At 37.9% G+C, this 17,331-nt stretch overlaps 1 long non-coding RNA gene across 8 annotated transcripts in view; it reads right to left on the bottom strand.

The window, feature by feature from the left end:
* Positions 1–1,922: 1,922 nt before the first annotated feature.
* The window catches only part of LOC101927108 (uncharacterized), a 60,297-nt gene continuing 44,888 nt past the window's right edge, over positions 1,923–17,331 (bottom strand). For 2 of the 8 annotated variants that reach the window (XR_929921.3, XR_242613.4), the window contains 2 exons: positions 11,559–11,616; positions 1,923–2,149 (listed from right to left, as the gene is read on the bottom strand). This is a non-coding gene — a long non-coding RNA (uncharacterized LOC101927108). Of the gene's footprint in view, positions 2,150–9,775; positions 10,137–11,033; positions 11,617–17,331 lie in introns of those variants that run through there. The other 6 variants (XR_001746719.1, XR_001746720.2, XR_929919.3 and 3 more) reach the window with 5 other exon arrangements.

Genomic DNA, 17,331 nt, shown 5'->3' with positions numbered 1-17,331 from the left:
CAGGTGCTCGCAACCATGCCCAGCTAATTTTTTGTGTATTTAGTAGAGACGGGATTTCACCGTGTTAGCCAGGATGGTCTCCATCTCGTGACCTCGTGATCTGCCCGCCTCGGCCTCCCGAAGTGCTGGAATTACAGGCTTGAGCCACCGCGCCCGGCCTTTTTGTACTTTTAGTAGAGACGGGGTTTCACCGTGTTAGCCAGGATGGTCTCCATCTCGTGACCTGTCCGCCTCGGCCTCCCGAAGTGCTGGGATTACAGGCGTGAGCCACTGCACCCAACCAATAGACCAGGTGATTTCTTATTGAGCATTCTAGCTGTGAGAATCTATGAAAATAAGAGGTAGATATGTGTGTGATGGGCAAAGAAAGGAGAGGAGAATATTCATCTTACTACACCTCAATCTCTGTTGGATTCTTCCTAATTATAGATATTCTGTGGCTGAGGTTTTTTATACCATCGTAAATTAAGTTGTTTGTAGCTGGACCAGTTCTTAGCTGGAGTCATTCCAATGTCCTGCTAGGAGAAACCGCTATTCTATTTAATTTAGGATGTGCTGGCAAGACTGCCAAACATCAACGAGAACCTGGAAACATTCTTAAACAGAAGGCATGATACACAGCTACCATGTCAATAATCTCTTGGCTTTCCATTTTGATTTGTGGATATTATATAAAGAGGGTCAAAGGGAAGAAAGTGAATTTGGAAACACTAACCAGGTTGGTAGGGAATAGGATCCCTTCCACTTTCCCAGTAGTTCAGAATAAGTTTTTTTTATATTTTCAGTATGTGCTACTGTTCCCCATCATAGGTAGGTGAGCATTAGAATCAACCTGAGAGACGTTTTTTTCTTTTCTTTTTTTGATACAGGGTCTCACTCTGTCACCCAGGCTGGAGTGCAGTAGTGCAAGCACAGATCACTGCAGCCTCAACCTCCTGGGCTCAATCAGTCCTCCTGCTTCAATTGATCCTCCCATCTTAGCCTCCTGAGTAACTGGGACTACAGGCACGTGCCACCACACTTAGCTAAGTTTTGTATTTATTTTAGAGATGGGGGGTCTCACTATGTTGCCCAGGCTGGCCTTGAACTCCTGGGCTCAAGCCATCCTCTTGCCTCATCCTCCTAAAGTGCTGCAATTACAGGCATAAGCCATTGTGCCTGTCAGAGGCTTTTATTTAATATAGATTCTCAGACTCCATATCCCCAAATTTCTGATTCAGTAGATCTGTTTAAGCCTATACCTTTATGTTTTTAGAAAGTTGCTTTGGTGATTCTGATAGCTGAACCCTTGTTCTTCATTTTGGAAAACCTGGCATAGATCAATGCAATATTTTTAAATGTCCTATATGTACTAAATACTTAGTCAGGCATGAGGAGGTATGCAATTTGGTCTCTTGGTTATGGAACATTATACTCTAGATATCACGAGTATTGCCTTTTCTACAAACTCAGGAAAGTTGTGCTCACATCACTTTCTTATTATATTTCTTTCTTTTCTTTCTTTCTTTCTTTTCTTTCTTTTTTTTTTTTCTTGTCCATTGCCAGGCTGCAGTGCGGTGGCATGATCTCAGCTCACTGCAACCTCTGCCTCCCAGGTTCAAGGGATTCTCCTGCCTCAACCTCCCGAGTAGCTGGGACTACAGGTGTACGCCACCACGCCTGGCTAATTGTTGTATTTTTAGTAGAGACGGGGTTTCACCATATTGGCCAGGCTGGTCTCAAACTCCTGACCTCGTGATCCGCCCGCCTCGGCCTCCCAAAGTTCTGGGATTACAGGCGTGAGCCACTGTGCCCAGCTATTTCTTTGTTTTTCAATAATCACTCCATTGGTGTCAGTTCAGTATTCTTCTTGGGGACTTCCTCTACCTGTGTATTAGTAATACTTTTCTAGAGAGACAGAACCAACAGAATGCAAATATAGATACGTGGACAGATGAGAGGAGATTTATTAGGGGAATTGGCACACATGATTATGGAGGCTGAGAAGTCCCACAGCAGGCCTGGCAAGCTGGAGAAGCTGGCATGCTGGCAGTGTGGCTCAGTTCAAGTACAGAGGCCTGAGAACCCAGAGGGGCGCTGGTATAAGTCCTGGAGTCCAAAGGCCAGAGAGCCTGATGTCCAAGGGCAGAAGAAGAGTGTACTCCAGTTCCTGGAGACAGAGCAACCAATTCAACTTTCCTCTGCTTTTGTTCTATCACAGCCCCAGCCTATTAAATGATGTTCATCCACACTGAGGGTGGATCTTCCCCCACTTAGTCCACTCAGACTCACACACAAATCTCCTCTGGAAACACTCACACAGACACACCCAAAACAATGCTTTATCAGTTCTCTAGGTATTCCTTAATCCAGTCAAGCTGACGCCCAAAATTAATCATCACAACCTGTATTGTCTAAGAAGACTTACTCAAACTAAAGAAAGGTGGCATAATGCAAACAAATTTAAAAGGAGGAAGCCTCATCAATTCAATAGTGTCATGGTTTCTTGCTGCTGCATGGGGTTGTTGTAGTATATCAGTCCTATAAAGTTCAACAGAGAACACCTGTCCACTGCAGCTGGGATACTTTTGCTGTCCTGCTAACCTAAATACATGGTAAAGCTGCCACAGATGTCCCCTCCTGAAGTCTAAAGTTACAACTCATTTTATTCCACATCAAAGGCATTCCAGGGTGGAGCTTCAAGCAGTCCATCTGGGACAGCCAGTAAGGGGGTATAGCCTGTAAATAATCTAAAACAATAATACAAGTGATTAGAAAATAGTCTGCCTTTTATTATCACTATGAGATGGTGGCTGTAAATAATGTCGGTGATAAAATACTCCTCCCTAAAAACTCCTTTGTTGGTTTAAGTGCTAATAAATTTCTGTTTTTGTAAGCCACCCAATTTATGGTAGTTATGGCAGACCTAGGAAATTAATACATATGCTAAATAAGAATTTTCAAAAGCCAGCAATAAATACTATGTACTAAATAAATGGTAAGAACACTAACATGTCATGGCAACTTGGAGGAAGTCTAATCTTCTTCTGGAGGCCATATATAGAAATTCAATTCTAAACCAGACTATAGTATCATCTCCACTAGACTATCAAACAAATCCAGTAAATGGTATCTTTTCATGCCGCTTATTCCATAGAGACTAGCTTTGGGATCACATTTGCTTGCAAGGCAAACCAATCTGATAAATCAGCCTAAAGATGATATCGATGATTCTTCAGGCTGTCACTCTCAAAGAAAAAAAAAAAGACTGATATCATCTGACACACATTTTGAAAGTAAATATCAACAATGCCAAAGGCATGATCCATGAAAGAAAGAATTGATAAATTAGACTTTACTAAAATTAAAAATTTCTGCCCTGCAAAAGACACAGTCAAGAGAATGAAAAGACAAGCCACATGTTTGGGGAGAGCATAATTGTAAAAGACATATTTAATAAAGTACTGTTATCCAAAATATACAAATAACTCTTAAGATTCAACAATAAGAAAACAATCCAACTAAAAAGTAGACCAAAGACCTTAATAGCCCCTCATTAAAAAGACATATACAGATGACAAATAAGCATATGAAGAGATGCTACACATCATATATCATCAAGAAAATGCAAATTTTTTTTTTTTTTTTTGAGATGGAGTCTCGCTCTGTCACCCAGGCTGGAGTGCAGTGGCGCGATCTCGGCTCACTGCAAGCTCTGCCTCCTGGGTTCATGCCATTCTCCTGCCTCAGCCTCTCGAGTAGCTGGGACTACAGGCACCTGCTACCATGCCTGGCTAATTTTTTATATTTTTAGTAAAGACGGGGTTTCACCATGCTAGCCAGGATGGTCTAGATCTCCTGACCTCACGATCCGCCCGCCTCGGCCTCCCAAAGTGCTGGGACTACAGGCGTGAGCCACTGCACCCGGCCAAGAAAATGCAAATTAAAAGAACAATGGGATACCACTACACATATATTAGAATGGCCCAAATCCAGAACACTGACACCACCAAATGCTGGTGAGAATGTGAAGCAACAGGAACTCTCATTCATTGCTAGTTGGAATGCAAAATGGTATGGCTACTTTGGAAGATGGTGGTTTCTTAGAAAACTAAATGTACTCTTAGCATATAATCCAGTGATCATACTCTTTGATATTTGCTAAAGGAGTTGAAAACTTATGTCCACACAAAAACCTGCACACAACATTTAAGCAGCTCTATTCATAATTGCCAAAACTTGGATGCAATCAATTCACCTTTAGTAGGTGAATGGATGATAAATAAACTGTAGTACATCTAAGCAATGGAATATTATTCAGTGCTAAAAAAGAAATGAGGTATCAAGCCATGGAAAGACATGGAGGAGCCTGAAATTCATGTTACCAAAGCTAATCTGAAAACACTGTGTGATGTCAACTAATAATATTCTGCAAAAGGAAAAACTGTGGAGACAATAAAAATATCAATGGTTGCCAGGAATTAAGGGGAGTGTGGGTTGAAGAGATAGAGCACAAAAAATATTAAGGGCAGTGAAACTATTCTGTATGATACTATAATGGAGGATACATGTCATTATACATTTGTGCAAACCCAAAGGACAATATCAAGAGTGAACCCTAATATAAACTATGGACTTTGGGTGATTATGATGTGTCAGTGTAGGTTCATCAATTGTAACAAATGTACTATTCTGTACATCTGACACATTGAAAATGGGGGAGGCTATTCCTGTGGAAGGGCAGGAAGTATCTGGAATACCTTCCTCTCAATTTTGCCATGAATCTAAAACCTCTTTTAAAATTTTAAGTCTTTAAAATAAATAAATACCACTATCTCTATACTGTTACCACATGAACGCCAGGATATATTGTTGTATCAGTTATCTGTTACTACATAACAAATTACTCCAAAACATAATTACTTAAAACAATAATTTATTGGTTCTCATGATTGTGTAAGACAGGGATTTGGGTAGGGGTTAGCTGGGTAGTTTTCTCCATGTGGGTCTTTGACTCAATTGTATCTATCTGGAGCTGGGTTGGGCTCAAAGGTCCAAATAAATATATATTGATGGGTCGGGCATGGTGGCTCATGCTTGTAATCCTAGCTTTTTGGGAGGCTGAGTGAGGAGGATTGCTTGAAACTAGGAGTTTGAGACCAGCCTGGGCCACATAGCAAGGCCCCGTCTCTACAAAAAAATTAAAAAAAGAAATTAACCAGGCAAGTGGTGACAGTGTCTGTAGTTCAAGCTACTCTTAGGTCCGAGGCAGGAGGATTCTTGAGCCCAAGAGGTAGAGGCTGCAGCGAACTGTGATCATGCCACTGCACTCTAGCCTGGGCGACAGAACAAGACCCTGTCTCAAAATATAGATAGATAGATAGATAGATAATAATAATAATTATTATTATTATAAATATTGATATATTAAAAAGTTTTATATATTCATATGTATTTTTATATTGCTAATATCTTAAAAACAATGAAAAGATAAACAATTATTTAAATGGTTACTTATAGGAAGAGAGAGGGAACACAGTAGATGGGCAGAAATAGAATAAGTCTTCTCTAAATACACCTTGTTTTGTAGACTTAGCTTTAGAAATATCTAAATATTTTACATAAAAATAAAAACAAAATTAAATAATAAAAGCAACCTCTGAATTTGAAGTAATAGGAAACAAATTAACCTACCTATATATCTAGTTGGTAGACTAATCAGAGAAAGAGAAATTATAACAAAGAACTTTAAAACACAGTAACTATATATCTCTAGGGATGTACATTAGAGATATTTCCTAAAGACAAAAAGAGGTACAAAAATTTTTTTCAGACATTTTCAACCAAATCATGTTGGTGGCAGTAGCATTCGTATTGTTTTCTGAGATGGCTATGTGCAATTTGTGGGAAAAACCAAATATCTGATTAGGCTGGTCTCGTAGAGAACTGAGGGTTTTTTTGTGATTGCTAGGAAATACAGGTGTATAATTGATGAAGTTAAATAAAAGCCAAGTCATACCTTGAAACCTGAAGTATAATTATACATTCATGAGGTTAATATTATATTAAATATATATTTAATATGTTGTTATACTGTATACAATATATTAAATATTAATATTTTAATAACAACATAAAACAAATATATTCCCTAACCACTGAAAAGGCAAAGAACCAATGACCAACCCAGTAGGAATGAGCACCCCAGTGTCCAGATTATGATCTTAAATGTTATTTCCCTGTTAAAGCAACCAAGGTGCTTTGAAAAAAATGATTAATTCTGGATCTAGGGCAAGGAATGTAAAAAAGATATGCTGGAACACCTTGTAACTCAAAAAAATCAAGAAAGCTATTGAAGGCCACCAGGGTGGTGTCAAAAGTACTCAATAGACAACCTAAATAACCTCTGCTGGGTTAAAAGAGGAAATCTGAGCACCAAAGAGCATAATAACCTTAATGGATTGAAGTGCTTCAAGTATGTTTAAAACCATGAATTTATAACTGTACTAAAACTAAACTAATAGGTCACCTTTGAAAGATGTCAAGGGAGCATCTCATTATTTTGAAATATGATAAAGGGAAAGAATTGTACCTTTTCTGCCTTTTACAGTCTGTATTTCAGAATTGCCAAATAATTTATGAGGGGAAGGTTTTTTTGTATAGAAGTATTCTAATACCAAATGAAAAGGAATTATAAAATTAGAGTATTACAATTTTTGTTTGGTTTATTTGTTTGTTTGAGACAGTCTCACTCGGTTACCCAGGCTGGAATGCAGTGGCACAATCATGACTCACTGTAGCCTCAACCTCCCGGGCTCAGGTGATCCTCCTGTCTCAGCCTCCCAGGAAGCTGGGACTACAGGTGCACACCATCACACCTGACTAATTGTTTTGTATTTTTTGTAGACATAGGGTTTCACCATGTTGCCCAGGCTGGTCTCAAACTCCTGGGCTCAAGCAATCCACCTGCCACTGCCTCCCAAAATGCTGAGATTATAGTTGTGAACCACCGCACCCACTTGAGTATTACCATTTTGTAACCTCTAATGATGTCACAAAAAAGAGAGACACTAAGACAACATTTTCTTTATGATGGAAAAACCACCTATGAAGTAGTGTTGAAAAAAAAAATCTGACTTGAAGCAGATCAAACCTCTAAATCTAGCTGCCAATCTATAGAAAATATGGCAAATAAAGGAATATGTTCAACTATACCATCGGGGATGCAATCAGCAAAACCCAGACTATGGGAAAGTATAAAATAAGCAACAAAAAAATCAAGAAAAAGAGATGGAGTAGGATATTACAGATTAAAAGAGACTGCACGTGCTTATCAACCAGTGGCACACTATGGACCTTATTTAAATTATAATTTTAAAAAAACTATAAAAATTGCTTAAATAGAACAATCAGTTCAACATGAATATTTATGTGATGATACTCATGATTTATTGTAGATTTGTCTACATGTGGTAACAATAGTATTGCGGGTGTGTTTAAAAAACAGAGTCCTTATTTCCTACAGATATACACTGAAGTATTCACAGAGGATATGATATGATACTCAGGATTTACTTCAAAATAATCTCAAAGATGGGGGAGTTAAGAGCATGTAGATAAAAAAGAGCTCGACAATGTATTAATGATTTTTGAAGATGAGTAATGAATACACTAGTTTCATTACACTATTTTCTCTACTTTTATATATGTTTGTAATTTCCTAAAATAAATATTTTAAAATACCAATATTTATTAAGGAGCTAGATAAAACACCATTGGTAGAATGACAGAATTCTATAAGCTTTTTTTTTTTTTTTTTTTGAGATAAAGTCTCACTCTGTGGCCCAGGCTGGAGTGCAGTGGCATGATCTCGGCTCACTGCAACCTCCATCTCCCAGGTTCAAGTGATTCTTGTGCCTCAGCCTCCTGAGTAGCTAGGATTACAGGTGCATGCCACCACGCCCAGCTAATTTTTGTACTTTTTTAGTAGAGACCGGGTTTCACCATGTAGGCCAGGCTGGTCTCAAACTCATGATCTCAGGTGATCCACCTACCTCGGCCTCCCAAAGTGCTGGGATTACAGGTGTGAGCCACCACGCCTGGCCTAAGCTCCTCCTTTTACTATAATCTTTTCCCTAAATTATTCCCTATTTGGTGAGGAGGTCTTATGCATCTTGGTATACTTTAATCTTAGCACAGTGACTGCCATATAGTAGTCACTCAATAAGTGTTTATTAAATGATAACCACTCTTTTTTTGATATAAGATCTCACTCTGTCGCCCAGGCTAGAGTGCAGTGGCACCGTCATAGCTCTCTGCTGCCTTGACTTCTCGGACTCAAACCATCCTCCCACCTCAGATTCCCAACTAGTTGGGACTACAGGTGCATGCTACCACACCTGGCTACTTTTTTATTTGTTTTTTTTTTTTGGTATTTTTTGTAGAAATGGGGTTTCACCATGTTACCCAGGCTGGTCTAGAACTCCTGGACTCAAGCAATCTGCTTGCCTCAACCTCCCAAAGTGCTAGGATTACAGGTGTAAGCCATGGCACCCAGCTGATAACCACTTTTAACGTCAGTATAAAACACTATTTTTGTGATCAAATTTATTCAATCACCTATGAAATTAAAATGTTTCTGATTTTGTTCAGAGGTGTTGGCAATACAATGGCCTTCACCTGTAAGACAGTCTTCACCTGTAAGACTGTGTACTCCACATTCAGAGTCATGCCATGTAGGTATTCCTGCACTAAGTTCTCCTAGCAGTACTGTATCAAATCTCAGTCATCAACAGGCTTTTCTGATCAAGTGCCCTTTCTCCCATGTGCTTCTCAGAAATAACTGAAATCTTTGCATACTTTCTCCTCTTGCTGCAGTTCAGAGGCTTTGGCCAAATGCTAAGCTTCTGAAATTTCTGCTCCGAATTTACTGAATTTGAGCACTAGGTGGTTAGTGGGAGGTAAGAGGAAATCCAGCCAGAACCCAAAGAAGAAATTATCTGGGAAATAAAACCTAAATATAAAATGATAGGCTATTTATGTGTTTGTAGAATTTTAAAAGAAAACTTTGATATAACTTTTACAACCTAGGAATGTTTGTCAAAATTCCTTAGTCTAGTTTGATGGGCATGTGCAATGAGATGTTGACCATATAAACTTAGAAGAAGAAACTCACATATGGGAGGAATTATGTGAATTTCCTTCCACCTGAAGGTAAATCTTATTAATGTGAGACAGTTTACAGTGGGATAACAGAGGTTTCATAAAGGTATCTGCCTGTGTTCCTGAAGGGCCCTGACAAATGGCACTGCACAATGGAAGAAGCAGCAGAACATGATTGAGTATTTAATTGATCTGGTGACTTCTAGATGTCAAAAATATTGGAAAGCCACACATTAGAAAAATATCTTGGCTTCCTCTTTCCAAGATACTCTTGGCCACTAAATTGATGTTCTTGTAGGAGACATCTGCTTGTAGGTGATGACTGAGAAATGGATTAAGAACACAGCATAGATTTTCTGCCCCCGATTCTCTACTCTGCCAGCCATTACTAGTACATGTGGGTGTTAATTTGGTAGCTGTCCCAGATTTCATAAAAGCAGAGATGGCTTTCAGTTAAAAATGGCAACTTGAGGATGCATTTAACTACCTTTTATTCCGTCCAAGTTTTCCATCAAAATAATCTGCAGATGTCATAAATAGGGAACATCTTATAGCAATGCTGATCATTAAGAATTGAAGGAATTTTTGCTAAAGATCATACAGCTAAAAGCATGAAGAAAGACCTATCACCCCAGGTTTCTATGTAGTCTGGAAATTTAATGAAAAGAGACATCATCAAAATCTGACTCTAACCTTCAGTGCAGTAGTAAGAGTTGGAGGTGCTGATAGGTTATTGGTAGCCTTGTAAGGGGTCCCTCTAGGGAGTGCATTGCATGCCAGAGCCATAAGGAGCAGGGATCTTGTGGTCTTTCCATGCTGGGAATAAGCAAAGGGGCTGCCACAGCTCTCCCGCAAAGAAGTCAGTTCTGCCAGAAAAAGAATGGAGCTTCTTCCCCAGCTGACATCAGGCTGCCACCACGAACTTTGAAAAGAAACTCTTTGGCCGAAGGGACAGACTCCTGTTATCTTTCTTCTACCCTTAAGCTGCTGGATTTCTGAACCAAATAAGTAAAAGTACAATAAGTTGAAATATTTCCCCCTTCCCCTTATCTTGAGTGGTCTGGAACTTCAAACTCACACAATTTCTAAAAGAACTTAAACCAATACTGGACAAACTCTAATCTCAATCTTTAATTCGGTATACGACTGAAAATAAGAAAAGACAGTGCAAGTCAAAAAAGATGCCAGTCTGAGTGATGATTTGAGTAATGACAAAAAATATTCCTTTATGAAATTTTAGAAACTTTCTGATTAGTTGAACAGGATTTTACATGTTGGACGACAGAGTAGGTAGTCATTAAAAAGAAGGAAACCTGAGATGAGAAAATACTGAGGAAATAGGAAACTTTATTGTCAAGTTTCAAACAAATCAATGAATTAGAACCCAAGCTCCAAGCAATCCTCCTAGAATTTAGGGGAAGAAAACAAAGAAAGAAAAAAGACAAAGGAAAAGAGCTGTGGAGAATAAATCCAGGCAATCCAATATGAGTATAATAGTACTGTCAGAGTCAGTTTAAAATAAATAAATATATAATATTAATATATTGGAGAACCTGAAAATATTAGATAAATTAACCTAAATGCTAGATTGTAGAAAGACCAGTCATACAAACTACTAGAAAGCCTAAACAAGAAAATATTTTTAAAAAGCAAAATATGCAAAATTATGAATCTATAACCATAGATTTGACAGATATTATAATTTATTTTAAAATCTTTTATATGCACCTGGTTATATATTTAAAATTCTTAAAGGAAAACATAAGTTATAAATATACATGTAAAATTCATTAATATAAAATGTTTAAATGTACCTCAAAAGTGGGAAAAGCTCAAGTATTTAATTTTGACAAAAGAAATTTAACAACAAAGCAACTTTCACAAAGTCATACCTTTTATAAGAAGTGGAGCATGAATTTGAAATTTTACAGCATCTAAAAAAAAATAGACAGCTGTCCAACTTATTTTATAACCTTCCATAGTGCTAATAGCAAACCTGACCAAAATAGCAAATACACACACACACACATGCACACATGCACATGCACACACATATACCCCATGTAGACTAATTTTACTTTATATAGACGGAAATGACAAAAATAAAACACCAGAAAAATCAAATGCATACTGTAATAAAATGATAATACACTATGACAATACTTATTTCAGTAATGCAAGGATCATTCAATCTTAGAAGATCTGCAGCATTGTATCAATATATCAAAAGAGGAGAAAAATGCATTATAATTTCTATAGGTTTGATATATCTATGAAAAAGCTTTTATATAAATCAACATCATTTTCTGATGAAATCTCTGAACTAAGACTAAGACATTTTCTTAATATGATGAAAACATTTTTTCTTTCTTTCTTTTTCAAAAAAGCCATCAGGACCATAGTTAAGTGAAACCTACGTATATTTCCATTGAAGTTTGGAATATTGAAGTGTTCTCGATATTCTCAATATTCTTACTAAAGGAATAAGACAAAAAAAAAGAATGAGTACAAATGGAATTACATTAATGCAACTATTAAACGGACACATTTTAATTCTACCCTCTCCCACCATAAATCATGTTTCTTTATAGCCTCTTACTCTTGGTAGACTTATAAATTCAGGGCAGAAAACTAATATGCTTTGCTAAATTATTGTGGTTGCCATGTGATATATTAAGAATTAATTTATTGGCTGGGCACAGTGGCTCACACCTGTAATCCCAGCACTTTGGGAGGCCAAGGTGGGTGGATCACCTGAGGTTAGGAGTTCAAGACCAGCCTGGCCAACATGGTGAAACCCTATCTCTACTAAAAATAGAAAAAATTAGCTGGGCATGGTGGCACATGCCTGTAATCCCAGCTACTTGGGAGGCTGAGGCAGGAGAATCGCTTGAACCCTGGAGGTGGATTGCAGTGAGCCGAGACTACACCACTGCACTCCAGCCTGGGTGACAGGGAGACCCTGTCTCAAAAAAAAAAAAAAAAAAAAAAAACAAAAAGCAAACAAACGAAAAAAGAATTAAAAGAATTAATTTCCTCTCCTATGTAGGAACCAAGGCTGGGGTTAGAGTAAGACAATTAAGTCAAGGGTGTAAAACTACAGAGTCAGATTCTGTCTTTATTTAAAATTGTCACATTTTGTTCATCACAGATTTTTTCATATTAATTTTGATTTTTAAAATATTGTATTAACCTGTGCTTTATCTTGATTATGAGTTTTTTGGTGGCCTGTTACATTCTGCCCCCAAGACAAGCACCTGACTTGCCTCACCCTTGTCCTGGCCCTGAATGGGCTGGTTTTTCAATTATGCTTCGTAACTTGCAAAATTCTTATAAGTATTCTTTTGAATGTACCCAATATTACAAATTTTCAAAATTAAATTTAAAAAATAAAGAAGAAAAGAAGGCTAAGAAAAGAATTCTGGAGGGGCTCCAAATTTTAGTAATCCAGAAGAGGAGATGTTGCAAGCAAAGGAGGCTGAGCAGGAGAGGCCAGTAAGGGAGGAGGAAAAACAGACCGTGGCATTTTCCAAGAATGGTAATATTCTTTTGGGTCAAGGCAGCTGCTGCTGTAAATAGCTAGACAATTCCCTGCTAAGTGTACTTCTTTTCAGTCACCTAGACCGTGCCTTCAGAAATCTCACCTAATAATAGCCTAGCTGTAAGAAGAAAACACATTGTGCATTCATGCATATGAAACATAAATTACAATGCAAAATTATGAAAAGCTATATTTTTGAGCAATCAACGGTTTGGGTTTTGTTTTTAGCATTTTGGGTTGTCAACATGGCATGCTGAATTCATTTGAGCAATTGCTCTGTCTTGACTTGTCTTACTTTACTGTTATATTCTTTTTGTGTTTCAAACCTCGGATCAAGTACAGTCTATGGTTAGATGTCTTCCTTGTAATCAGTTCTTTTTTTTTAATTTAATTTCAATAGTTTTTGAGGAACAGGTGGTTTTTGGTTACATGGATAAGTTTTTTAGTGGTGATTTCTGAGATGTTGATCCACCCGTCACCTGAGCAGGGTACACTGTACACAATGTGCAGTCTTTTATGCCTCACCTCCCTCCCACCCTTCCCACTGAGTCCCCAAAGTCTTTTTTTTTAACTATTTAAAATTATTTAAATTTAAATTTTAAATTATTTTAAATTAAATAATTTTTTTTAAATTATACTTTAAGTTCTGTGATACATGTGCAGAATGTGCAGGTTTGTTACATAGATATATATGTGCCATGGTGGTTTGCTGCACCCATCAACCCGTCATCCACATTAGGTATTTCTCCTAATGCTATCCCTCCCCTTGTCCCCCACCCCTTGACAGGCCCTGGTGTGTGTTTTTCCCCTCCCTGTGTCCATATGTTTTCATTGTTCAATTCCCACTTATGAGTGAGAACATGTGGTGTTTGGTTTTCTGTTCCTGTGTTAGTTTGCTGAGAATGATGGCTTCCAGCTTCATCCATGTCCCTGCAAAGGACATGAACTCATCCTTTTTTATGGCTGCATAGTATTCCATGGTGTATATGTGCCACATTTTCTTTATCCAGTCTATCATTGATGGGCATTTGGGTTGGTTCCAAGTCTTTGCTATTGTGAATAGTGCTGCAATAAACATAAGTGTGCATGTGTCTTTATAACAGAATGATTTATAATCCTTTGGTTATATAACCAGTAATGGGATTGCTGGGTCAAATGGTATTTCTGGTTCTAGATCCTTGAGGAATCACCACACTGTCTTCCACAATGATTGAACTAATTTATACTCCCACCAACAATGTAAAAGCATTCCTATTTCTCCACATCCTCTCCAGCCTCTGTTGTTTCCTGACTTTTTAATGATCACCATTCTAACTGGTGTGAGATGGTATCTCATTGTGGTTTTGATTTGCATTTCTCTGATGACCAGTGAAGATGAGCTTTTTTTCATGTTTGTTGGCTGCATAAATATCTTCTTTTGAGAAGTGTCTGTTCATATCCTTCGTCCACTCTTTGATGGAGCTGTTTGTTTTTTCCTTGTAAATTTGTTTAAGTTCCTTGTAGATTCTGGATATTAGCCTTTTTCCAGATGGATAGATTGCAAACATTTTCTCCCGTTCTGTAGCTTGCCTATTCACTCTGATGACAGTTTCTTTTGCTGTGCAGAAGCTCTTTAGTTTAACTAGATCCCATTTGTCAATTTTGGCTTTTGTTGCCATTGCTTTTGGTGTTTTAGTCAGGAAGTCCTTGCCCATGCCTGTGTCCTGAATGGTATTGCCTAGATTTTCTTCTAGGGTTTTTATGGTTTTAGGTCTTACATTTAAGTCTTTAATCCATCTTGAGTTAATATTTGTATAAGGTGTAAGGAAGGGGTCCAGTTTTAGTTTTCTGCATATGGCTAGCCAGTTTTCCCAACACCATTTATTAAATAGGGAATCTTTTCCCCATTGCTTGTTTTTGTCAGGTTTGTCAAAGATCAGATGGTTGTAGATGTTTGGTGTTATTTCTGAGGCCTCTGTTCTGTTCCATTTGTCAATATATCTGTTTTGGTAGCAGTACCATGCTGTTTTGTTTACTGTAGCCTGGTAGTGTAGTTTGAAGTCACGTATTGTGATGCCTCTAGCTTTGTTCTTTTGCTTAGGATTGTCTTGTCTATATGGGCTCTTTTTTGGTTCCATATGAAATTTAAAGTAGTTTTTTCTAATTCTGTGAAGAAAGTCAATGGTAGTTTGATGGGAATAGCATGAAATCTATAAATTAATTTGGGTAGTATGGCCACTTTCAAGATATTGATTCTTCCTATCCATGAGCATGGAATGTTTTTCATTCATTTGTGTCCTCTCTTATTTCCTTGAGCAGTGGTTTGCAGTTCCCCTTGAAGCAGTCCTTCACATCCCTTGTAAGTTGTATTCATAGGTATTTTATTCTCTTTGTAGTAATTGTGATTGGGAGTTCACTCATGATTTGGCTCTCTGTGTGTCTGCTATTGATGTATAGGATGCTTGTGATTATTGCACAGTGATTTTGTATCCTGACACTTTGCTGAAGTTGCTTATCAGCTTAAGGAGTTTTGGAGCTGAGTCAATGATTTTTTTTGTTTGTTTGTTTGTTTGTTTTGTGATTGAGTCTCACTTTGTTGCCCAGGCTGGAGTGCAGTGGTGTGATCTCTGCTCACTGCAGCCGCCGCATCCCGGGTTCAAGCAATTCTTCTGCCTCAGCCTCCTGAGTAGCTGGGACTACAGGCACACATCACCACACCTGGCTAATTTTTGTATTTTTAGTAGAGACAGGGTTTCACCATATTGGCCAGGCTAGTCTTGATCTCCTGACCTCGTGATCTGCCTGCCTCAGCCTCCCAAAGTGCTGGGATTACAGGTATGAGCCCCCATGCCTGGCTGATGATGGAGTTTTCTAAATATACAATAATGTTGTCTGCAGAGACAATTTGACTTCCTCTCTTCCTATTTGAATACCATTTATTTCTTTCTGTTGCCTGATTGCCCATAGAACTTGTTGAATAGGAATGGTGAGAGAGGGCATACTTGTCTTGTGCCAGTTTTCAAAGAGAATGCTTCCAGCTTTTGCCCATTCAGTATGATATTGGCTGTGGGTTTGTCATAAATAGGTCTTATTATTTTGAGATATGTTTAATCAATACTTAGTTTATTGAGTGTTTTTAGCATAAAGGGGTATTGAATTTTATCAAAGGCCTTTTCTGCATCTATTGAGACAATCATGTGGTTTTTGTCATTGGTTCTGTTTATGTGATGGATTATGTTTATTGATTTACATATGTTGAACCAGCCTTGCATCCCAGAGATGAAGCTGACTTGATCATGGTGGATAAAATTTTTGATGTGCTGCTGGATTCGGTTTGCCAGTATTTTATTGAGGATTTTCGCATCGATGTTCATCAGGGATATTGGTCTGAAATTTTCTTTTTATGTTGTTTCTCTGCCAGGTTTTGGTATCCGGATGCTGCTGGCCTCATAAAATGAGTTATGGAGGAGTCCCTCTTTTTCTATTGTTTGGAATAGTTTCAGAAGGAATGGTACCAGCTCTTCTTTGTACCTGTGGTAGAATTTAGCTGTGAATCCATCTGGTCCTGGACTTTTTTTGGTTGGTAGGCTACTAATTACTGCCTCAATTTCAGAACATGTTATTGGTCTATTCAGGGATTTGACTTCTTCCTGGTATAGTCTTGGGAGGGTGTATGTGTCCAGGAATTTATCCACTTCGTCTAGATTTTCTAGTTTGTTTGCGTAGAGATGTTTATAGTATTCTCTGATGGTAGTTTGTATTTCTGTGGGATCAGTGGTGATATCCCCTTTATCATTTTTTATTGTCTCTATTTGATTCTTCTCTCCTTACTTCTTTATTAGTCTGGCTAGTGGTCTATCTATTTTGTTAACCTTTTCAAAAAACAGCTCCTGGATTCATTGATTTTTTAAAGGGTTTTTTGTGTCTCTATCTCCTTCAGTTCTGCTCTGATCTTAGTTATTTCTTGTCTTCTGCTAGCTTTTGAATTTGTTTGCTTTTGCTTCTCTAGTTCTTTTCATTGTGATGTTAGGGTGTTGACTTTAGATCTTTCCACTTTCTCCTGTGGGCATTTAGTGCTAACAATTTCCCTCTAAACACTGCTTAATGGTGTCCCAGAGAATCTGGCATGTTGTGTCTTTGTTCTCATCGGTTTCAAAGAACTTACTTATTTCTGCCTTAATTTCATTATTTTCCCAGTAGTCATTCAGGAGCAGGTTGTTCAGTTTCCACGTAGTTGTGCAGTTTTGAGTGAGTTTCTTAATCCTGAGTTCTAATTTGATTGTACTGTGGTCTGAGAGACTGTTTGTTATGACTTCTGTTCTTTTGCATTTGCTGAGGAGTGTTTTACTTCCAATTATGTGGTCAATTTTAGAATAAGTGCTATGTGGTGCTGAGAAGAATGTACATTCTGTTAATTTGGGATGGAGAGTTCTGTATATGTCTAGTAGGTTCACTTGGTCCAGAGCTGAGTTCAATCCCTGAATATCCTTGTTAATTTTCTGTCTCATTGCTCTGTCTAATATTGACAGTGGGGTGTTAAAGTCTCCCATTGTTATTGTGTGGGAGTCTAAGTCTCTTTTTAGGAGTCTAAGAACTTGTGTTATGAATCTGGGTGCTCCTGTATTGGGTGGATATGTATTTAGGATAGTTAGCTCTTTTTGTTGCATTGA

The sequence above is a fragment of the Homo sapiens genome, chromosome 9, assembly GCF_000001405.40.
Source record: "Homo sapiens chromosome 9, GRCh38.p14 Primary Assembly".
NCBI classification, from domain to species: Eukaryota; Metazoa; Chordata; class Mammalia; order Primates; family Hominidae; genus Homo; species Homo sapiens.
This window is presented reverse-complemented; position numbering and strand designations above follow the sequence as displayed.